Raw genomic sequence first — 23,122 nt, 5'->3', positions numbered from 1 at the left:
TGCAGTGGTAAGAGTGAACGTCCTTTCATTGTCTTGTTGCTGAGTTTAGGGGGAAGGCATCCAGTCTTTCACCATTAAGTATGATGTTAGCTTTGGGTTTTTCTGCCCATTGAAAAAAATTGAGTTTTTTGTTTTCTTATTATCAAGTTCTAAGAGTTCTGTATATATTTTTGATATAAGTCCCTCAAGAAGTATGTGCTTTGCCAATATTTTCTGCCAGTCTATGGCTGATCCTTTCATTCTATCAAGAATGTCTTTTGAAGAGAAGAAGCTTTAAAAGTTTGGTGAATTTCAAGTTATCACGTTTTCTTTTATGAATCATGCTTTTCATATTGTGCCTAAGAAATCATCATATAATCCAAGATCATAAAGATTCTCTCTAGTCTATTTTCTTCTAAAAGTTTTAGAAGGCTTTATATATTTAGATTGATATATTTATATATAGATTTAGGTTTATATTTCTATTTATAGTCCATCTTGAATTCATTTTTATATTTTTTCTGAGTTATGGATTGAAGTTCTTTTTTTTTTTTTTTTTTTTTTTTTGCATATGATAGCCAATTGTTCCAGTGGCATCTGTGGAAAGGCTGTCCTTTCTCCACTGAATTGCCTTAGCACTTTGTCAGACATCTCAAAATCTGGTTGTGTTAGTTCCACTTTGTCCTTTTATTTCAGAGTTGTCTTGAGTATTCTAAGTTTTTTGTATTTTCATATCCATCTATTTGTGGTTTCCATCTGATTTTTGACATAGATGATTATTGTTGTCTGTGAATAAAGACAAATCCTACTGAGACAGACTGAGACCATGTCTCATAAAAAAGAAAAAAAAAACCATTTCAGAATAATGCGTTAGTGTCCTAGCAACCTCAGCATGTCTGCCTTTAGCCAGCTGGGGACCCTTCAAGTGTTTCTTAGTGTTCTTCTGGCGTTTCCACCTCGTCTTTCATAGCTTTCAGTCTCAGGTTCAACATCTTCTGTTCCCAGAGTAGACTGGAATCGGCCTTTTAACCAAGGAGCTCTGGTTATTTTTAGTGGAAAATGATATTTGGAGACCACAGTTTGAATGCTAGGGTGCTCACTGTTCCAGGCCTCTCTAGGAAAAATGATTTTTTTTTTTTTTTTTTTGAGACGGAGTCTCACTCTGTCGCCCAGGCTGGAATGCAGTGGCACCATCTCGGCTCACTGCAACCTCCGCCTCCTGGGTTCAAGCAATTCTCCTGCCTCAGCCTCCCGAGTAGCTGGGATTGCAGGCACCTGCCGTTACGCCCGGCCAATTTTTTGTAATGGAAAAATGAATTTTTTAGAAATAGAAATAAATCATGAATTCATACCAATATTTCCACTTCAAAAGTTTTTGTTCAACCTTTCAATTTCATTTTTGTACCACTTTTATAGGAAGCTTGGATCCTAAATACAGTAACATAATTAATGTGTATATAGTCAAAATAATAATAATATCTGTATTATTAAATATTTTATCACCAACAATAGATTTACTCGATGCAGTCTAGAATCTTTCTGGTTCTTTTGTCCTCAGGCTGTGCGGCAGGAGGGAGGATTAGTCAAAATACTGTATTTCAAAATCACTTGAAACTTCTTATCTGTGTTTTTACCAGGTTTATTGATTGAGTTTTTGGATTTCTAGTAGTTCCTTTGTTCTCTCTCTTTTTTTTTGGAGACGGAGTCTCTCTGTCACCCAGGCTGGAGTGCAATGGTGCCATCTCAGCTCACTGCAACCTCCGCCTCCGGGGTTCAAGGGATTCTCCCACCTCAGCTTCCCAAGTAGCTGGGATTAAAGGCACCCGCCATCATGCCCGGCTAATTTTTGTATTTTCGTAGAGACGGGGTTTCACCATGTTGGTCAAGCTGGTCTTGAACTCCTGACCTCAGGTGATCCGCCCGCCTCGGCCACCTAAAGTGCTGGGATTACAGGTGTGAGCCACTGTGCCTGCCCTGTTCTTACTCTTAATTATGCAAAACATTTACATGGTTCCATAGTCAACAAAGGACATTTGTAAATGTCTGGCATGTCTCCTCCCTCACCTGTAGGTAATAATTTTGATCAGTTTTGGGTTTGTCCTTCCCCTGTTGCTTTTTGAAAATGTAAGCAAGTCTGTGTGTGTATCTTCCCCCAGCCCCTCTTCATGTCCTTATACAACAGGATGGGTGCACCTTCCGCACTTGCTTTTTTACTTAATGAATATATCCTGGAGCTTACACCATAGCAATAGATAGAAATCTTCCTCCTTTCTACAAGGAGCCCTTCTCCAGGGTGGGGCTGTAGCGCAGTTCATTCAGCCCCTCCCCCTGCCAGTGGACACTGGGGTGGGTTCCATCTTTATACGATGCTATAGGTAGTGCTGGAGCTAGAATTTGAACTCAGAGCCCATGTTCCTATTGCTCTTTCTCCTGTGCTCTGTGGGCCGTCATAATGGAGGAGGCGGGGAGCAAAACGGAGTGAAGAGGTTGAGCATGAGCACTGAGGCTGGGGGAGGCGAGTGTCCCCCGCTGTGCCATGGCCCCTCGGGTGTGAAGCTGGGTCATGTTGCTTTGCTGGGGCCTCGGGTGCAGGTTGTCTGGAAGTGGGCAGCTGGTGCTGGGACCTGCTCTCTGGCACTAGTGTGCTCACTGCAGGGCGAGAGCTTGGGTGCACCTTGGACAGGGATTGATTCACTGGACTAGCTGGTGGAGTGGGCAGGTCTGTTGATCTGTTGGAGACAATGACTGTTGGAGCCCTCGAGCAGGCTGTGTCACGTGGAAGGGCAGTTGAGCCATGTGCTGTGGGACGCTTTGGATGCTGCCCTGAGCTGCCACTGGTCCTATGTCCTGGAGAGGCCCTGGCCCAGGTTCAGCAGCACTGGCCAGATTGGGGCAGATCTGAAAGGAGCCAGGGCTGTGCACACCTGGCAGGACAGGTGGAACTGGGTGTTGGGAAGGGCAGGTGTGATCCAGGTCACCGGGCCGGCTGGGCCTAGCGTGTGCAGAGCAGAGGGGGCTGACACGGTGCGACCTCGGAGAGCCGCCTGTTCATATATGCACTTGCTTGCTGGCCCAGGGCCTGCCTAGCTGGCAGTGACTGGGTCCTGTGCTGGGCTCTGCTGAGCTCCCACAAACACACCCCATCCACTATGAGCCCTGGTGAGAAGGGAGAGGGGTCCAGGCCCCGCTGGGATGCGCGGTGTGGACAGCACTTGGCGTGCACATGAAGCTTATGTGACGGTATCACAGTGACCTTGATCTGGGGCTGGGGAGGAAATGCCTCGATGGGCTGTCCTCATGCTGCTGGGCCTGGGCCATCGGGGCCGGCCTAGGGGATGCCCAGTAGCCTTGGCAGCCTCAGCCATCCTTGTCAACTCCAGTGGGACTGGGGGATCCTGAATCCCACCTCCTGATGCCAGTGGAGCCCTGAGTTTCTGTTCAGAAGGCCAATGGAGGGCTGGGCTCCACCGCCTCTGAGGTCCCTGACCTCTCATAGGTTCTGGGGGGCCAGGGTGGGATGAGGGAGAGACAGGAGTCATGGGCAGACTCCCTGCTGCCCCGGGGACGTCTCACTCAGACATTTGTATGTCACCTACAGGTACCCTGGGGGCCTTAGGGCCCCTCCTCTCTTCATGGAGCCCAGCTAGTGGCCCCCTCCCTTCCTGGCTCCCTGCAAGGCGAGGGAAAGAGGAGAGGAGAGAAGGCCTCGGAGCGCTGATGTATCCATCATTCCACACAGACCCGTGCTTGTTGAGTGCCTCCTCGGGTGGTAGCCCCACGTGGGATTCAGCATAGTGCAGGCAGAGGTGGACACAGTGTGAACTGTTAGGCCACAGCCACATCTTGCCGGAGCCGCAAGGCAGGAGTTCAGGAGTGAGAAGGCACTGGCTGCGGCTCCTGGGGCTGGAAAGGGGGCCAGTCAGGCAGGCAGAGGGGTGGGTCCAGCTGTAGAAGCGAGATGGGGGCGGTTCGGGAGGCAAAAGCAGGAAGGCAGAAGGAAGCTTGGAGCTCATGAGCCCCTCTGTGCTGGCGCACGGCCCACGTCCTCTAAACAAAAGGGATGGGCTCCTTCAGTGGTTCCGTGGGCCCTTGGCAAAGCTCGTGGAAACACCAGCTCCTCCCCAGCATTCATTACCAATGCGAAGCACTAGCCCTTTGCTTGGGGCATTCTAGACCCCCAGGTGCCTAGGCTGGGAGCCCTGGGCCAGGTGGTGGGGGGGTCCTGGCTGTGGAATCCAGATGGGACCTACCACTGCAGCTGGGTATTAGGCAGATTTAGCCAGGGAAGGACAAGGTGAGAGAGGAGGAGCTTCTGAGAGTCCATCAAGGGCTGGCCGCAGAGGGGAGAGGCCTGGCAGCCGGCGAGCCCAGTGTGGCACAGGTCTGTCTGCCTGTCCTCTCCCTGGGGACACTGCTTCACAACAGACTTTCTTCATCAGCTTTGCCGGGGCCTGTCAGGCCAATAGCTTGGACTTAGCCTCTTGACTCTCACCCTTTTGCCCATTCCAAAACAAAACAAACAGCAGCACCGCCATGCGCCCATGTGCCTGGTGTAGTATCGTTCCAGGCATTTCATGGGCAGGAATTCGCTTAATCCGCACAGCAGCTCTGTGACGCAGTCGAGAGTATTATTAGCTCCATTTTACAGATCAGGAAACAGGCAGAGAGAAAGGAAATAACCTGCCCAAGCTCCAAGCTGCAAGTAGAGGAGCCGGTGTTTGAGCCCAGAACCTGGCGCTGGGAGCCACGAGCTGCCCTGCTGGGCACTGGGGTGGACACTTGCCCATCAGTCCTTCAGTGAGTGCGAAGGAGCCGTGTCTCACTTCAAAGAGGGATTTAAAAATTCTACCCTCACCGGGCACAGTGGCTCACTCCTGTAATCCCAGCACTTTGAGAGGCCGAGGCGGGCGGATCACCTGAGGTCGGGAGTTTGAGACCAGCCTAACCAACATGGAGAAATCCCGTCTCTACTAAAAATACAAAATTAGCCGGGCATGGTGGCGCATGCGTGTAATCCCAGCTACTCGGGAGGCTGAGGCAGGAGAATCACCTGAACCCGGGAGGCGGAGGTTGTGGTGAGCCGAGATTGCGCCGTTGCACTCCAGGCTGGGCAACAAGAGCGAAACTCCGTCTAAAAACATAAACAAAAATAAAAAACTCGACTTTCTGCGGCCTCACTTCAAGGATGCGTAGGAAATTTGAGAGACCAATAGGAAGTCTCTAGGAAAGGGTCTTGTTCCCAGAAGGGGGTCGTGCTTCTTGGGCCCTTACTGCATAGCTGGGCTGGTGTAGGCCTTGTGGGGTGGGAGGCTGTGTTCATTGCCAAGATTTGAGAAGCCTTGGCTTTTATGTGAAAAACGCTGAGTGTTTAATTGTTGATCCAAATATTTTAAACATGCTATGAGTTTGACCAGAACACATCTTGGGCTGCCAGTTACAACCTCTGAGTCCAAGGACACCAAGAATAGCACCCTGGAAAGGGCAGGGAAGAAGCATGGGTCCTGGCGTGGAGACAGAGGCCGGAGCTGCCACCTCAGGCCAGACGGGCACCACGGGCATGTGCATGGGCAGAGGCCGTTCCCATCTGAGTGGGACCCAGAAGGAAATCAGACACAGTCCCTGCTCTGAGCCACGGATAGGGGGAGAGACGGGCGCTCTCACATGTCCTGGGCCACATGCCAGGGCTAGGAGCCTTTCATCCCTCACCTGCTCTACCCCTCCTTCCACGCTGGCCGGGGATCGGGGTGGGGGGTACTGTCCGTCCTGTTTTTCGTACTTTGCAGCTGACTCAGTTTAGGTAGCGGGCAGCTGAGTGATTTGCCTATGAAGTGCTGTCGGCTTTTGGCGAATGTCAAGGCCAGGATGGTGTCCCTGGGTCTCGACCCCATTCCTGTTTTCCTCCCACTCCACTTGCCTTGGGCCTGTCTCTTCTGCCCTAGGGTAGAGGCTGTGGGTGAGATTTGCAAAAAAAGAAAAGGAGCCGGCATTTGGGGAGGAGACCTGTGTGTTCCAGAGCTCAGCTGGGAACTCCTTGCCAGGGTGTGGGAGAGGCTGGGCTACTGAATGGAGCAAACACACACCCAGGGCCCGGTTGCATTAGGGTTCCAGGTCAACAGCACAGACTGTTTTAGGATTAAAAGCAGTCCCATGGGACAGGTTGCACCAAAACATTGTTTGTTTGTTTGTTTGTTGTTTGATACAGAGTTTCGCTCTGTCACCCAGGCTGGAGTGCAGTGGCACGATCTCAGCTCACTGCAACCTCTGCCTCCCGGGTTCAAGCGGTTCCCCTGCCTCAGCCTCCTGAGTAGCTGGGACTACAGGTGCACACCACTGTGCCCAGCTAAATTTTTGTATTTTTAATAGAGATGAGGTTTCACCATGTTGGCCTGGCTGGTCTCGAACTCCTGACCTCATGATCCTCCCACCTCGGCCTCCCAAAGTGCTGGGATTACAGACGTGAGCCACTGTGCCTGGCCAGGTTGTTGTTTATCTGAAGCTTACATTTACCTGGAGGGTCCTGGCAGTGCCGGGGAGAGGAAATTTGAGCCAGGGTCACGGAGTGTTGGGCAAATGAATCCCCACTCTAGGATTCTGGAAATCTAGAAGACAGGCAAAAACCAGGAGCAGTGAGAGCAGAGTGCTGGGCCACGCCGCTGCCTACTAAGGGCTCACATGCATGGCCCTGGGAGGCGACTGCGTCCGGCACCCGCTCATTGTTGGATGAAACGAGCAGCTGGGCTCCCAGTGAGGACACGGTGGTGCTGCCAGGCAGGGAAGGAAGTTCTGGGAGTCCTGCTGGCTGCTGGTTTATCGATTGCCTCGGAATAACAGCCCCATCGAATACCAGTTCGCTGGGAGGCAAGGCGTGGTTTCCTCTTTTTCTTTCCCACATGGGTTAGTCTTGCTTGATGCTTTTCTGTTGTCGTTAGATTGTTCTGAAAGCTCATTTAGCATCAGCTCTTTCCGAGGCTAAGGGACAGGTGTGGCCTGGGTCTGTTGGGGGAGGGGGGCTGTATGGGAGGCTGAGGATGGCAGAGAGAACCCTTGAAGGAAAGGTTTTTGTTGTTTTTGTTTTTGTTTTTTGAGATGGAGTCTTGCTCTGTTGCCAGGCTGGAGTGCAGTGGCGCGATCTCGGCTCACTGCAACCTCCGCCTCCTAGGTTCAAGCAATTCTTCTGCCTCAGCCTCCCGAGTAGCTGAACTACAGATGCACACCACCACTCCCGGCTAATTTTTGTATTTTTAATAGAGACAGGGTTTCACCGTGTTAGCCAGGATGGTCTGGATCTCTTGACCTCATGATCCACCTGCCTCGGCCTCCCAAAGTGCTGGGATTACAGGCGTGAGCCACCACGCCCAGCTGGAAAGGTATTTCTTTATCATTAGGGAAATGCAGACCAAAGCCACCTGACACCCACTAGGATGGCTACAGAATTTTTTTTCTTTTCTTTGTTTTTGAGACAGGGTCTTGCTCTGTCTTCAGGCTGGGGTACAGTGGTGTGCCATCTTGGCTTACTGCATCCTCAACCTTCTAGGCTCAGGCAATCTTCTGGCTAACTTAATTTTTTTTATTATTTTTTTTTTTTTTTGGAGAGACAGGGTCTCACTATGTCTCCCAGGCTGGTCTTGAGCTCCTAAGCTCAAGCAATTCTCTCACCTCAGCCTCCCGAAGTGCTGGGATTAGAGGTGTAAGCCACCATGCCCAGTGTCCCCCACCCCTGAAGGCTATAATTTTTGAAAAGGGAAAATAACTGGTGTTGGGGAGGATGTGGAGAAACTAGAATCTTCATGCATTGCTGGTGGGGCTGGAAAATGGGGCAGCCACTGTGGCAAACAGTTTCACAGCTCTTCAATAAATAGATTTACCATGTGACCCAGCAATTCCACTCCTAGGTGTATACCTGAGAGCACTGAAAACACACATCCACAAAACACTTGGGCACGATTGTTCCTAGCAAGCGCCCGTATGTTGCTTGGCTTTGGCCTTGGTCACCGTGGACAGTGCTGCTAACGCAACCTAAGTGTCCATCAGCTGCTGAACCGGTGGACAAAATCTTTATATACTGGAGTCGTATTCAGCCGTAAGAGGGAATGAAGTGCATTTACGCACTGTGGCACAGACGAACCTTGAGAACGTTACATAAAGTCAAAGCAGCCAGACACAAAAGACCATGTAGTGTGTGATTCAGTTTATATGAAACGTCCAGAATAGGTGAATCCATAGCAACGGAAAGCGATGAGTGGTTGCCAGGGGCCGGCAGATGGGGGATGGGGAGGACGGGGTTTCTACTTGGGGTGATGAAATGTTCTGGACTTAGACCGTGGTGATGGTTGCATAGCTAAAAACTACTTTGAATTTTATCTCAGAATTGGAACAAAACAAAACAAAGCAGGCTGTGGTCCTGGGCCCCCGCGGTGCTCTCTGCAGACTGCTCCTCTTCTGCCCCCACCCCACCCCACACATTCCCAGCAAGGTCACCGCAGCCCCCTCCTCACCCCTGCAGCGCTTATTCCTTCCGCCTTTTGAGCTTCCCACAGAGTCAGCAGCGGCCACCTGCTGAGACCTGGACTAGGGCCTGCTTACCTTCTGGGAGAATTGGCTGCAGTGCCAACAGCTGGTTGAGGGGAAGGCCCGGGAGCTACCTCCTTCACTTCTCCTTCCTGTAAACTTTGGCATACCCTGCCCCCCGCCATCTGCTGCCCCCTAGCCTGCCACTGCCAAGGAGCTCTGAGGACAGGGGCCAGAGGACTCACTAGGGAGCCACCTTCTGGGAGTCAGTGGCCTTGAGGAAATCATCGCTAATCACTCTCCTGCCGCAACTGCTGGGAAAGGCAGGTCCACTTGGGAAGTGGAGCAGGCAGCAGTCATCGCTGGGGCTGGGGTGGAGGTAGGTGGCTGGGAGCAGGCCTCTGAGGCTCTTCCTGTGCACACACAGGCGCCTACTCTGGGCCCACAGACAACTTGCTCACATACCTAGAGCCCAGCCCCTGACCCCAGGCTGCATGCTTGTCTTTTTGCATCCTCCTTGCCCCCTCCCCTCCTCTCCGTTCCTTCCTCAGTGTGCTGGGCCAGGCCCGGGCGATAACCAGCTCAGGACTGTGGAAACAGCAGGCAGGCAGGAAGAGCTCCCTTCTCTCCACCGTTGGTGGCCAGATGTTGAGATTCCAGATGTGATTAGTTTGAAAAAAAACAAAGTAAAAGGATTCTGAGGCTAAAAGTCACTGTTTGAAAGTCTGTGCCTTGAGAAGAGCACTTGGGCAGAGGGAGGAGGGTGAGGGGTTTTCTTTGCTTTGCTTTGCGCCTGTGATGGACACTTTGTGAGGCCCCCAGCGGAAATTTGGGCCTGTGCTCTGAAGGCCGCGTGCTCCTGCAGCCATGGGCTCCTCTGGCAGTTCTGCTGGGGCCCTTTTAGAGTCTGTGGGATGCACTCAGCAGCTCCCAGGTAGGGCCTGAGGTCAGACCCCATGTGTCTCCCCAGGGACAGATCTTCTCCACCAGACGTCTCTTTCTGCCTCTTGGTGGGTTCATGGCTGTGTCTGGTTGAAGAGTTGTTTCCAGAAGGACCTTGTTGTCCGTCCAGATGAACTGAGCAAGTGTGAAAATCCCTGTGGAACTTGCTCTAGGGCAGATAATGTGCAGCTGGGGTGCATGTGGTTGTTGCTCCCGTGTAATTCTTCTTCTTTGGAAATGGGGGCTTTGGAGCCTGGGAAGCAGAGAGAGGCATGTGCTCCCCACCCCCACCCTGGAGTCTCCCCAGGAAATATCTCGTTCTTGTTCTCTGCTCACGGTTTAGGTTGCACGATGGGAACACAAGACCCGCAAGCTGAGCAGGGCCTTCGGATCCCCCTACCTGGCCTGCTACTCTCTAAGCGTCACCATCCTGCTCCTGAACTTCCTGCGCTCGCACTGGTAAGCACAGCTCTCTCACTGGGGAGCCACAACCCCTGGGCTAGCGGGAGGGCCGCTACTGGTGGTACCTCATCCCTCACCACGCGGGAGCCTTGTGTCTGAGCACTCAGGGGTTAGCTCTCAAAGCCACCTGCCACAGCAAGCCACCCTACCCCTCCCAGCCGTTTAGACTCTGGCCAGCAGAGGAGCCCCAGTGACCTCAGGAATGGGGGTATGTGAATGGGGGGCAAGGGACAATGCCTGGGTGGTCCCCAGGTCACATCCCAGCCTCTGCCACGTAGCCAAGGCTGTTTTAGGAGTCTCCTCCAGGAAGCGTCCAGTCAGAAGGTGGATGCTGGCTCGGGAGCCCTCAGGGGTCAGGCCTGACCATCTCTCCAGGTTAGGTTTGAATCAGCGTCAGAAAGCTTCTTTGAGGCCGGGCGTGGTGGCTCACACCTGTAATCCTAGCACTTTGGGAGGCCGAGGCGGGTGGATCACCTGAGGTTAGGAGTTCGAGACCACCCTGGCCAACATGATGAAACTCCGTCTCTACTAAAAATACAAAAATTAGCCGGGCATGGTGGTGCATGCGCCTGTAATCCCAGCTACTCGAGAGGCTGAGGCAGGAGAATTGCTTGAACCCAGGAGGCGGAGGTTGCAGTGAGCCGAGGTTGCACCAGTGCACTCCAGCCTGGGGCAACAGAGCGAGACTCCGTCTCACATTTTTTTTTTTTTTAAAAGAAAGCTTCTTTGCCCATCTCTGGACTTGGGACAGGCACCTTCCTGCTGTCAAATGAAAAGGTCAGAGAAGAAGAACTGGAACTAGATGATGAGGCACAGCCCACTGCACTTGGGAGCGAATTTCTCTGCCCAGACACCAGGCTAGACAAGGCCCACCTGCGTGGAATGTGATGGCTGCAGGCGACCTGGGGATGCAGGCTGTGCAGGGCAGCTGCCCCATCTCTGGGCCCCGGTCTCACCTCCCACAGTACCCTGAGAATCATTGCGCACGGCAGCTCATGGACTAAACATGGACCACGTGGTTCTCCAAAAAATGAGAAACTAGCTGCACCAGAGAATCCCCATTTTTGACTTGTCGAGACAGACCAGAAGTTCTGTGTGTGCCTGGCCACACCCCACGTGGAGCGCTCACTGGGGCCGAGGCACAGCTGCCCCCTTTGGATGGGGCGCGTGTAGCCTGGCTCTCCCCATTGCCCGTGGCCCCATCTCCGTCGGACCAGCCTGGCTTGCAGGCACTGGGTGCACACAGGAAGGGGCCTGCGAATGCTCCATGCCAGCACGTGCGGAGCCGGGGCAGGCCTTGCTGGTGGTCAGGCCCCTCACACACTCACCGAGGGTGGCCTAGGCCTTCCCCCTCCGTGGCCAGGCACCCTTGCTGCCTTCTCGTCATTGTCATGGCCTTGGCCACAGGAATGTGGGTGAGCAGCGTGGTCAGGGTCCTACTGAGGTCAGCCTTCCGCACTGGACCCCTGGCTCCTGGCCTTTGCTTCTTGGCCCTTTGGGCCAGGGCTGCCTGCTTTCTCTAGGCCTGGGTGGCTATCCCACGGTCTTGGTCCTCAGAGGGGTGGGTCCCCTGGCACCTGCCCTGGGTTGAATGATGTGAAGAGGCTTCCCCAGAGAGGGCTTTTCACCCCTCGGAGGGCAAGGGGTTTGGCCCATGGCACCGCCTCGGGGCCTGTGCGTCTGCACAGCCTGCATGCTTACAATCTTCTAGGCTCTCCGGCCCCAGGGAGCATTTTCACATTTATAGTCTCTGGGTAGAGAAGACTCTGACTGTGCAGATGGAGGAAGTGAGGCTTGGAAAGAAGCAATGGTTGCCCGAGGTTTTACAGCTCATGAAGCGCTGACCAGCATTGGAGAACAGGCAGCTTCCAGCTCAGCAGTGGCTTAGGGAGAAAAGATTCCATCCATTTAGGCCAGAGGAACCTGGCAGGCACCGGCACCACCCAGGCTGGGTTATGGGAGCATCAGGGGACGGGAGATGGGCCTCTTTCCTACCCATGCTGCCTCTTGGGCCACCGGCAGAGTGTCCCTCCTTACCCAGGATGGGGCCCTGGCTGCATTGGCAGGACAGTCAGGGGTCTGTGCCCTCCAGCCCCCAGGCATCCACACTCCCCAGCGGCCAGGAGGGAGGGGGCTGGTGCTGGCCGACTGAACGCTCAGAGCTTGGAGTCCCCCCACAGGAACAGCGAGGCTGAAGACAGGTGGAGGGCTGCAGAGGGTTGAGACTCAGCCCAGGGCTGGCACGCTGAGCTGTTCCACCACTCCTGCTCCCTAGAGCATGCCGGGACCACCATCAGGGCCGGCACAAAGCAGGAGAAGTGGGCTGCAGCCCACAGCGCACACAGATCCAGGAGCAGCTAGACCAGGCCAGGTGACTGCCCAGAAACACCGGCCAGCGCCACAAGGCAGCTGCCTTGATGGAGCCCCTCCTGCCAGCCCTGCCCCGGGAGCTGCTCTGAGTCTCTGCTGAGTTCTGATTTCCTGCGCAATCTCATCTTGCACTAGAAACCCCAGAGGCTTCCTTGAGTCCTCCCCATCACCTCCCTGCTGGTCCAGCAGCACAGCCTGTGATCTGCCTGACCCTGGAGGTCTGCCCCCGTCATCCACCCCTTTTCAAGGCAGAGAGTAGAGGGCCCTGGAAGGGGTCATCCTTCCTCCTCCAGGCCCCAGCCGAGTGCTGTGTGTACCTAGGAGACCAGGGGGACAGGCCCACCCACAGCCCAGTTCCAGCCGTAGACAGCAGCAAAGCACTGTCTGGTTTGTTCTTGGATCCCGGGGCCTGGGAGTCCTCCTGGGGTAGCTGGAGGAAGTCAGCTTCTTACAGATGGTGGCTCCCAGCTTTCCCTCCTCTCATATCAGCGTTGGCCTCACCTGGCATCTGCCCAGCCAGCAGGGCCATGACTTTTGGTTGAACTGGCCACCCCTGGATTTTGGGGAGGAGAGAAAGGATGTCCTGGGCTGCTTTTCTCCTCTCACCTTTTGTGTTCAGAGGCAGAGGTGTGCCCTGGTCCTCACTCTCTCCCCCACTGTTCTTCCCCTCCAGGCCCCTGCCTGCACCCTATCCTGCCATGTCCCTGGTGACCCATCCTTCCCGCCCACACCTGCCAGTGTGAGGCACACAGGTGGCAGGTGCTGGAGCCGGACCGGGCTGTTGGGCCAGGCTCTGACAGGACCCTCGGGACCAGCTCCTGCATACCCCACACCCCCACACCCTTTCCCATGCATGCCTCGCTTCAGTGGCTGTCTAGAGGTGGGTATTCTTTTTTGTGCAGTAAAATAGACATAACATAAACTGTTATGAACCATTTTAAGCTTTACAATTCAGTGACATTTAGCAGCTTCCCGATGTTGTGCAGCCCTTCCTCCTGACTAGTTTCGGAGCTTTTTCCTCACCCTATAGGCCTGGAGCAGTCATCTCCCGCCCCCCAGTCCCTGGCAGCACTCGTCTGCTTTCTGTCCCCATGAGTGTGCCTGTTCTGGACCTTTGGGGTGTGGCATCGTTCTCCATGGGAGATGGCAAGCTTTGTGGGGTCCAGGCTGTGCTCAAAAGCCTCTGCACCCAGCAGGAGTCGGTTGGTGGGCAGAGAACACAGGCACGTGCTTGAGCCAAGCCTGGGTCATGGATGGGATGTCCGAGAGGCCACCAGCAGCTGACCTGCCAGCGGGTCCCAGGGGAGAGTAGGTCACTATGTTAGCAGGTCTGCACCAGCAGTGCATCCAGAGGTGGTCAGGGGAGGCCCGGGGCAGGATGAGCCACTGTTATCTGGAAGCAGGTGTGCTCCATCCAGTCCCGAAGGGGCCATTAGCACAGACCTGTTTGCTCTGGCTGTGGAGTGTGAATGGGGAGGAAGGCTGATGGGCTCCGGGGCACTTGTTGAAGTCCCTTGCCTGAGCTGCCCCCTGCACAGCTGAACTTGGCCAGCTTTGGCTGGACCGCTACCCTCTGATGAGCCACAAGGCTGGTCTCGAGAAAGCCCACGGGGGTGGGCGAGGCGTGGATGGCCAGGCAGGGCTCGAACGGGCTTCACAGGACTGGGCTGCAGCCCTTCCTCCCTCCTGGCTGTGGGAGGAGACAGCCGAGCTTGTTAGGGCATCAGCGAGCTCCTGGTGTCGTTCACCAGTCACGGGATGGAACTGTGCTCCAGCGCACATCGGAATTGCCTGGAGTCTCCCAGGGCTCCCTCTGGGTCTTCTGAGGGGAGAGGCTCCTGTGTGCTCTGGTGTGGCGGGCACAGCCAGGCTAAGAAGCTGCATCCTGGCCTCGGAGTGTGGCTGTCGATCAGGAATCTTCCTCAACCTGGAGGTATTCCCAGGCTGGGCTAGGAGGCACCTGGAGGGGCAGGGTGGTCTCTGGAAGGTGGTCTGGGTGGGTGGGGTGCAGGCGGAGCCCTGGCTGAAGAAGCCTTACGACCAAGGCCTGGAGGAGTGAGCCGGCTCTTCAGATGGCTGGGCAGGGCCCATGAGTCCCAGGAGAGGGCGGCCCCCACTCACAGGCTGGGCAGCAGGGGCAGGGCAGGTGGGGACTCACCTCAGCGCTCTGTATACTAGAGGCCGTGGGGCAGGTGCAACCCTGTGGGACACCAGACTCACCCCAGAGCCCCTCTCCCCTAGGGAAGTCTGTTTTCAAAAACTCCCTGATGATTCTGAGGCCAGGCCTTTGGGGACTGTGGCCCTGGAGGAGGCTGGCACAGGTGGCCCTCTGTCCTGGTGACTACATGTCCTGGTCACTGCTGCATCCCACCCAGTGCCTGGCCGGACCTGCTCAAGGATGTGGTCAGGACAGGCCGGGGGTTGAGCGGCTGCATGAAGGAGGGAGGGCATGGAGCTGATGGGACAGTTTGCTTCCGATGGAGCAATGGAGGGCTGGGCGTGTGCAGCGTTCCATGGCAGAAAAAAGCGACTCCTGCTGTCTTGGCAGAACAGGCCAGAATTTTTAAAGAGTCTGTGGACTGGGAAGCCAAGTGTATTAGTTTCCTTCTGCTGTGTAACAAATTCCCACACACTTAGGGCTTAAACCACACAAACTTACTATGTGACAGTTTCTGTGTCCAGGAGGCTGGATGCGGGGGCGGGGTCTTTGCTTAGGGACTCCCCAGGCTGGAATCAAGGTGCCTGCTGGGTGTGAGCTCACCCAAGGCGTGGTCCTCCACTCTTTCGGGTTGCTGGCAGGACGCGGGTCCTTGAGGCCCAGCTCCTGGTGGCCTCCCCGCAGCACAGCAGGCAGCTCTGTGGCTTTGGCTTTTGGTCTCTCTGGCTTCTAGACCCTTTTGGAAAGGCCTACCCAGGGTCACCTCCCTTTTGATTAACTCAAGGCCAGCTGATTAGGACCTGAATTCTATTTGTGAAATCCCTTCACCAGAGTGATTTCCTCGAGGCAGGTGCCTGGGGTAGCCACTGGGCGGGGTCCATGAGGGCAGCTGGAGAGTAAGGGGTGGGGGGACACTTAGGACAGGGAAGCTGGCATAGGCTTTCCTGGGCACAAGGGCCCCCAGCTGCTGGGAAGGAAGGAGGGAGAGGGGCTGCAGTTCGGCAAGAGTGGGTCCAGGCCCTGGTAGACCAGGCTGGTCTGGCACCTGAGGGGCTGTGGCTGGGAAGGAGGGAAGAGGCACCCTCCCCATCCCCAAAGCACACACGGCCAGGAAGTCTGGAAGGAGAGTGGGTGTCAGCCTGGGATTCCCAGGTGCTAGGGGTGCTGGGATACTGCTGCCTGTTGTCCTTGGCCTGCCCGTGAGGCTTGAGCCTATCCCACTGTTTACAGGTCGTGAGGAGGCAGGAGAGCCATCCTGCCCCTCCTGCTTTCTACCATCTGCTTCCCTGTTTGTAAAACAAGACAGACTCTCTCTCAGCTATTGATGGGTTCTGGAAACACTTTGGAAAGGTGACGTGTTATTCAAATGCTCAGAATTAGTGCAGCGTCAAAGCCCGAAATTCAAGCCCTTTGATGGTCTCGGGGGTTGCATAGATGAACATTTTTTGTTTTAGTAGTTACATGCTTATTTTAATATGTCTTGGAAAAGAAATGAGCCCATCAGACGACTCATTTCATGGCTAGCGTCGTGTAGCTGAGATGGAGTGGAAAGAGCGAGTCACTCCAAGCCTGGGGTGAAGGATGTGGAGTACATGGCACTCAGGCCACACATGGATGTGGACGACGTTGCGGAGACACCCCAGGATGATCAAAGTCAGGGAAGTGTTTCTGGTCGGCTGCAGATAGAAACGGGACAGGCCTGTCCCAGGTGGGGCCGTGTGCCTCTGGCCTGGTGTGTGGCCCAGGACTGCTGGCTGGGGACAGGGCGGGGACACTGAGGGCAGTGATGCCCCCTCCCCACCTCCACCCCAGGGTTTCCGGGATTTTATGGGAGCAGAGTGCAGACAGCCTCAAATCACATTAATGACTGAAGGTTCAATCCAGGTCTTAAAAATAGAACCCAAGGCAAATGAATGAGTCTCCGTTCCCCACCCCTAGTGCGGAATACTTCCAAGGGAAATTGCGTCCTATATTACCTCATTCTGTTAGGGAGCTTGTGGTCACAGAGCTACTCATCCATCCACTAATTTTCCCTGTGGAATGGACGGACTGTGCTTTCCTGGCTTAATGGAGGAGCTAGAACACTGTCGATTGCCTAATTCGGGCCATGAGATTCCAGTAAACCTGGAATCTAGAATCAGAGTGTATTTGACTGGGTAAGGGGCCACTTGGTGAGAACGCCAGGGAGGAGCTCAGCCCAGTTCCTCTGCCGACTCTGAGCAAATGACCCACAGAGCATTGTGCCAGGAGCCAGCCCAGGCTGTCATCTCAGAGAAAGGAAAGGAAAGGCCCCAGGACTGGGGCCGTAGGCGGAGGAGCAGCTGGGGGACTGAGGGTCAGGTCTGGGGCAAATCTGGGGCCTCTCCCACCCGCTCCCTGGCCCCGGATCTGCCCTTCATCAGGAATCTGCTTCCAAGCAGATCTGATTTGCCTACTGAGCCATGCCCCCAGGGAAGCTGGGCCCTGAATGAGCTGGGCTTTTGGGCCACACCAGAGGGAGGAAGTTCCCTTTCATCTGCTGCCTGCTTGTGTGATGCAGATGAATTCTGGCAGAGGAACCCTGAGCATGGGGTATGGACCCAGGCCTGGCTCGGGTCTCCGCAGGAGGGGGTAAGAGCGACAGAGTCTCCGTCCAGAGTGACCCTCCAGCGTCTCGGGCCTGGCCTCTGCGCCCACCCCCTATTGCAGCACCTGGATGGGTCTCCCTGGTTCTGCATTTTCCACAGCAGGCAGAGTGCATTCCAAACCCTGCCGGGCCGAGGCCTGCACCTTCCCTGCTCCATGCCCTGCCCCAGACTCTAAGGCACACCTCCCTGCTATTTCCTCTTTCTGGAATGCTCTCCCCTGTTCGCCCCTCCCAACCCCTGTCTGTTTTCTGGTCCCCACTGCAGTGGCAGCCAAGGAGCCAGATGCTTGCAGGGGAGCCATGCTCCTGAGCAGGGCCGGCACCCTTCCTTTCCCTCCCACTCCACCATCTGCAGGCAGGAGAGTGGAGGGTGCCAGGCAGGGGAGAAGGTGTGCCTGGATCGTGGCACCACACTGGGTGTGCATGTGGCCACCTGATTCCATGGCAGCCCGTGACCCTGAGCCAATCCCAGAGGCTCGGCCTGGAGCTGCGGGGTGACCCTGAGCCCGGGCAGCAGCAGGATCAGGGCAGGGCACTGGTGGGTGGAGAGCTGGGGGTATGGGCAGCATGACCGGCAGTGGGTTTGCCCTGACACCCGAATGCCGCTGTTTAACAGGTCGGTGTGCCCGCCTCTGCCACCGGGTCCTGGTGGCTTTGTCCACAGGCCCTTCTCCCTTTCTCCCTGGCTCCTTCTCTGCTCTTGGGGATGGGAGGAGAAGGAAGGAGCGGCTACTGCTTCTCTCCAGTCGATGAATATGCACTAAACATCCATTCTGTGGCCTGGGCCAAGTGCTGGGGGGATACGCAGGGAAGGAGGAGCAACTTCTGTTCCCCAAGAGCTCCCAGTCAAGCTGGAGGAAGGAGTTCCAGGGAGGCATAAAGACATGTCTGTATGTCCTTAGCTCAGCATAAGGAGTTTCACAACAATCTGAATTCACCAATGAATGGAACGAGTGGATGAAGATGGGGGCTTCAATCTGCTTGAAAGAGCCTAGCAAACAAAGATACTTCATGGTGGATGGATGGATGGTTGTGTGGGCAGATAGAGGATACATTGATGGATGGAAGGATGGATAGCTGGACAGATGGATGGATGTGTGGGTGCATAGAGGATAGATGGATGGAGGAAGGATGGGTGGTGGGGTGGATGGTAAGCTGGCCCTGCTGGGAGATGCCGTCTACAGACTGGGTGTGAAAGGCGCTGCCCTGCGTGAGGTAGCAGATCTCCATGTCTCTTCTGTGTTGTGATTATTGTGAGCATGGGAAGAGCACATTTGGTCACACATGTCCGTGCTCCCACACACAGCCTTTCCTGTGAGTGTGCCTCTCATCTAGCACCCAGGGCCCCCTTCCCACCAGCGCCCGCTCCCCTGTGATGAGGCCTGGGTACATCAGCACATGCCTAGCCCCTGTGCCCTCCCTGCACCAGCCCCTCAGTTCTCCGGAGCCAACTGGAGAACCTGAGCCTCTAGACCCACTGCTGTCATAGTCACCCCCTTTTGGTCACGCCACTGCCTTTTCTTTTTTTCTTTTTTCTTTTGATACTAAGTCTCGCTCTATTGCCCAGGCTGGAGTGCAGTGGTGTGCAAACTCCGCCTCCTGGGTTCAAGCGATTCTTGTGCCCCAGCCTCTCAAGTAGCTGGGATTCCAGGTGCCCACCACCACACCCAGCTAATTTTTGTATTTTGGGTAGAGACAGGGTTTCACCATGTTGGCCAGGCTGGTCTTGAACTCCTGACCTCAGGTGACCCGCCCACCTCGGCCTCCCAAAGTGCTGGGATTGCAGGCGTGAGCCACCACACCTGGACCCCACTACCTTTTTACAAGGCCTTCAGTGGTTTGGCCCCAAAGGGAGCCTAGTGGGGGAATTCAGGTGTGGAGGAGGACATTAAGGGCCCCCAAAGTGCCTTTAAATGCAAGTCAAGCCACCCAGGATGTGGCCAGACCCACAGGGGCTGTGGAAGCGCAATCCCTAGCACAGAGCATGCCCCAGGCCTCGGGGCACTGAGTCTGTTGGGGAATGGGACACCTGGGCCTGCCCTGCAACCTGGCACCTGCGTCTTTCCTGAGCCTCACTTTCCTCCATAGTATGAGTTGCTCATTGGACAGGATGAGAGTTTGCAAGCTGGTGGCCTTCGGGCTGAATCCAGCCTGCTCACATGCAGGGTCTAAAGTGGCTTTCATGAATTGTCTATTTCTAAAAATTAGGATATTTCACATACGAGTCAGGATTTCTGGCTTCTCTTGAAAAAATTTAAAAATCTGACAGGCCTGGGCCCCTCCCTGTTACTGTCACCCACCTCCCAGGTGGACTGGACCCCACCTGCTGCCTGCCTGGCCTGGCAGCCCTGGGCTGGCTACTCTCTAAGGGTCCCTGGGGAGAGGGCGAGAAGATGAGGTCGGCCTCCTCCCGGGCTGTGACATCCTCCCTGGCCATGACGTCCTCCCTCTCCATCCCCTGCCCACAGCTTCACGCAGGCCATGCTGAGCCAGCCCAGGATGGAGAGCCTGGACACCCCCGCGGCCTACAGCCTGGGCCTCGCGCTCCTGGGACTGGGCGTCGTGCTCGTGCTCTCCAGCTTCTTTGCACTGGGGTTCGCTGGAACTTTCCTAGGTAAGACCCTGAGGGCTGGGGTGACCCTGAGCAGGACCGCTGGAGCCCCAGGGAGGTGCAGGGCCAGGTGGCTGCTGCCCTGCTATCCGTGACATCGGTGGGAGTGCTAGGGGCCCCCTCCATCGGGGCGTCTTTGCTCCTCCAGGCCTGGCTTGTCTGTGGTTAGAACAGGAGGCTGGGCTCCAACAGCTCCTCTTACCCCAGCGTGCTGAGCGGCTGCCTCCTGGGGAGTGAAGGCAGCTCCTGCTGCTTCTCTCCAGCTAATGAAGATGCACTCAATGCCCGTTCTGCGGCCCGGGCTGGGTGCAGGACTCCTTGAGTCCAGCTCCAGCACCAGCTCCCCCTTGCAGAAGACTCTCAGGCCTTGTTGCACAGAAGCCTGAGGTGGTGGTGAGTCAGCCACCTCTCTGGCAGCTCCCGGCACGCGTGGCTCTCAGGCCAGGCAGGATTGTGGTTTGTGCCGTGTTTGGCCGCAGGCAGGGCTGGTGTAGGTCTGGGGAGGGGTGAGGGGTGGAGGCACCTTATCCCTTCTCCATTTCCCTCTGCCTGTGGCTGAGGTGCTTTCAGGCTGTGAGCCCAGTGCTGGCCTGGCTAGACGCCCACCAATGACCCTGATGATGGCAGCAACTTCCAGCTCCTTGGAATCTGGGAAAGAAAAGCAGCCATGGGAAAGGCAGTAGGGGTCGGGGTGGGAGGGGAGATGGGGGCAGGGGTGGGGGACAAGAGGGGGCCTTCGGAACCTGGAAGGAGAGAAGGAGGCAGTCCCTGTCCAAGGGGAGCCCCTCCCAGTGAGCAGGGAGTTGGTCCAGCTGGCCGCATTGCCCGCTCTCCGTCATGGGTGGGAAGGCCCACGTCTTCCTCCCCATCAGCCCTGGCCAGTGCAGGAGCTTGGAAGTCACTCGGCTTCAGTGGCCTCAGTAGCCTCCTGGGACCAACGGTGTCCTGAGGAGCTCCCGGGCCTGCCTGCCATCCCCATCCTCAGATGCCGGCTACAGCTCCTTGGGCCCAGCCCCCAGGGCACCGTGGGCTGTCACAGGGCACTCCAAGTTCTCAAGGAGCTTGTGCCTGCCAGTAGGGGTCCCCCCGAGGGAGGAAGTGGCATCTGTGGGTGCAGCATTCTGGATCGCCCATGGCCAGGCCTCTCTGGGACTGTGGGGGGCACCCACAGGCAGTTCAGTGCTTCCTGCTCAGGCAGACGCTGTAGGGAGTTTGGTCCAGGAAGGGGGACAGCAGCCAGGAGCGTCTGGATCTGCCAGGTGGGGGCAGGTGCGGGCAGGTAGGAAAGAGAAAAAAGCCTTGGTGCAAGGAGAGGGAGGTTGAGGGCAGAGTAGCTGGCAGCTGGAGGTGGGGGGCAGCTGGACTGGCCGCACAGGTGCTGTCGGTTGGGACAGGGCAGGAGGATGAGCCGAGGCCTTGAAGGCCATCCAAGGGGCTGAGGCTCCATCCCCAGAGAGGTGGGAGCCATAGGGGGGGTCCCAGCAAGGAAGAGGTTGGACCGATGGAGCCAGGATCAGAGGTGGGGCTCAGGAGGAGCTGTGGAGGGGCCCTTCCAGGATGTGAGGGCGGTGAGGGCCCCATGGGAAGGGGGACTCCGGGCTGTGCAATCAGGTCCTGTGGGAGACCAGCGGCGGGGGCCCTCCAGTGGCCAGTGCTCGGGTGGATCTGGACAGGGAGGGCTGCAGAGGCAGCGTAAGGAGAGCCAGGATGGTGGGTGGAGCCCCTCAGCAGTGGAAGAACAAGCTGGGGGTCCTGGACAGTCAGAGGGAGGGAAGGAGCCTGCAAACACCAGTGGCCACAGCCTCCTGGCGGCCCTGCCAGCAGACATGGCCTAGAAACACCGAGGACCAGCAGCGCGGTATGTAGGCAAAGGTGGTCACTTCCTGCTGTGACTCAGCTCGAATTGGGTTTCTGTGCCATCTACGCACACCCTGTGCCCCACTTCCTGCTTCCTGGGAAGAAAGAACTTTCCAGTGGTCCTGGGCCCTGCCCCGTGTCCCCAGATGGTGATGAAGCTCCTGGACCCCTCCTGCCCATGCTGCCCATTGTCGGGCAGCTGCCCTACTTTCCGCCTTGGATGAAGCTCCATTGTCCTCTGGGAGGAGAGACAAATGAGGGGTTTCTGGGGACAGAAGGCTGGGAGGAACGAAGCCACACCCTTTATGGAGCGGTTACTCTGTGTCCAGTGGGACTGTCCTCTGTGGGCCTGGGACAGACACTGTGACTGTGACCCCGGCCACTCCCTTATGGCTCAGAGCAGCTCTGCCGGGGGACGCCTTGTGGCTGTGCGGCTGACGGGTGCATGGCTGGCCTGTCTGGAACAGGCTGTTCAATAGTCACCCTCTCTCCACTGGGTCTAGCTCCTCTGGGCAGCTGAGTGAGAAAACAATACCAGAGCTGACCTCCCAGAGCAACGGGAGGCGTGCTGTGGCCAGGCCCTGGTGCCAGAGCCACACAGCCTGGGGTGTGGAGCAGAGCAGCCCTTAGCAACCAGCTGAGGCCCCTAGAGGGAGAGGAACTCACCAGAGCGAGGAAGAGTGGGAGGTAGGACAGGAAGAGGAAGGGTCTGCATAAAGAGGCGCCATGAGCAGAGGGCGAAGGGCCTGAGGAGGAAAGGCGCTCTCTGTACAGAGAGCAGGGAAAGGCATCGCAGGGGAGGGAACAGCGTGTGCAGAGCCAGGAAGAAGAGGAAGGCCAGCATGGCTGGGTCAGAGTGCTCGAGAAGAGGAGCAGTGGGGCAGGGGCGGTGCTCAGCACCTTAGTCCTTAGGCCCCACGCCCTCTGCTGTCTGCGTGCCTGTTGGGTCCCTCTGACTCTGCCCATTGTTGAACTCTCTGAAGTCTCCTGGAGGGCAGGGCCCTGTCTCACCTGCAGGTCTCGCCACAGCCCGCTCTGGGGCCTCCCTCAGTGATGGTGTGGCCAGGGCTGATGAATAGCCGAGGGACCCTGCCTTGCCTCATCCACAGGTGATTACTTCGGGATCCTCAAGGAGGCGAGAGTGACCGTGTTCCCCTTCAACATCCTGGACAACCCCATGTACTGGGGAAGCACAGCCAACTACCTGGGCTGGGCCATCATGTGAGTACCAGGCTTGCCACCCCTCTGCCCTGCTGGCCACCTCCCGGAGAGGAGCTGGTGCAGCTCAGGACGCGGGGGCCAGGGCCCCTGGAGAGAGAGAAAGGAAGAACGTGTCATTTGTGGGGGCCTAGGCGCCCTGGTTCTCCCTTTCTCAGAAGCGTCTTATCTATGGTAACAGAAACAACATCCCAGAACAGGGTGGTCAGCTTCTCCAAAGAGGGCTGGAGTGTGGAGGCTCAAAGGCTGCAGGCAGGTCACAGCTGCTCAGCCCTGGTCCTGCCACACAAAACAGCTGCAGACGCAGGAAAATGGATGCGCGTCTTTGGCGCCAGCACAGCTCCACTTACAGACACTGAAGCCTAAATTTCAGATTCTTTTCACGTGTCAT

General features: G+C 56.2%; 1 protein-coding gene across 8 annotated transcripts in view, besides 4 other annotated features; it reads left to right on the top strand.

Moving 5' to 3' along the window:
• Positions 1–23,122, top strand: part of PEMT (phosphatidylethanolamine N-methyltransferase) — an 86,580-nt gene that overhangs the window by 59,975 nt on the left and 3,483 nt on the right. For 7 of the 8 annotated variants that reach the window (XM_024450532.2, NM_001267551.2, NM_148172.3 and 4 more), the window contains exons 3-5: positions 9,773–9,888; positions 19,514–19,659; positions 22,623–22,734. In XM_024450532.2, the coding sequence (XP_024306300.1) occupies positions 9,773–9,888; positions 19,514–19,659; positions 22,623–22,734 (374 nt within the window). Of the gene's footprint in view, positions 1–9,772; positions 9,889–14,010; positions 14,195–19,513; positions 19,660–22,622; positions 22,735–23,122 lie in introns of those variants that run through there. The other variant, XM_017024016.2, reaches the window with a different exon arrangement.
• Positions 14,220–15,089: an enhancer, noted in NCBI's record as "H3K4me1 hESC enhancer chr17:17420393-17421262 (GRCh37/hg19 assembly coordinates)". NCBI's record gives its function as "activates a minimal SCP1, AML or CMV promoter by ChIP-STARR-seq in primed H9 embryonic stem cells {active_cell/tissue: H9 hESC(primed)}" and the evidence as "EXISTENCE:reporter gene assay evidence [ECO:0000049][PMID:30033119]".
• Positions 15,960–16,829: an enhancer, noted in NCBI's record as "NANOG-H3K27ac-H3K4me1 hESC enhancer chr17:17418653-17419522 (GRCh37/hg19 assembly coordinates)". NCBI's record gives its function as "activates a minimal SCP1, AML or CMV promoter by ChIP-STARR-seq in naive H9 embryonic stem cells {active_cell/tissue: H9 hESC(naive)}" and the evidence as "EXISTENCE:reporter gene assay evidence [ECO:0000049][PMID:30033119]".
• Positions 17,700–18,569: an enhancer, noted in NCBI's record as "H3K27ac-H3K4me1 hESC enhancer chr17:17416913-17417782 (GRCh37/hg19 assembly coordinates)". NCBI's record gives its function as "activates a minimal SCP1, AML or CMV promoter by ChIP-STARR-seq in naive H9 embryonic stem cells {active_cell/tissue: H9 hESC(naive)}" and the evidence as "EXISTENCE:reporter gene assay evidence [ECO:0000049][PMID:30033119]".
• Positions 18,570–19,439: an enhancer, noted in NCBI's record as "H3K4me1 hESC enhancer chr17:17416043-17416912 (GRCh37/hg19 assembly coordinates)". NCBI's record gives its function as "activates a minimal SCP1, AML or CMV promoter by ChIP-STARR-seq in naive H9 embryonic stem cells {active_cell/tissue: H9 hESC(naive)}" and the evidence as "EXISTENCE:reporter gene assay evidence [ECO:0000049][PMID:30033119]".

Source organism: Homo sapiens, chromosome 17 (assembly GCF_000001405.40).
Source record: "Homo sapiens chromosome 17, GRCh38.p14 Primary Assembly".
Classification (NCBI taxonomy): Eukaryota; Metazoa; Chordata; class Mammalia; order Primates; family Hominidae; genus Homo; species Homo sapiens.
This window is presented reverse-complemented; position numbering and strand designations above follow the sequence as displayed.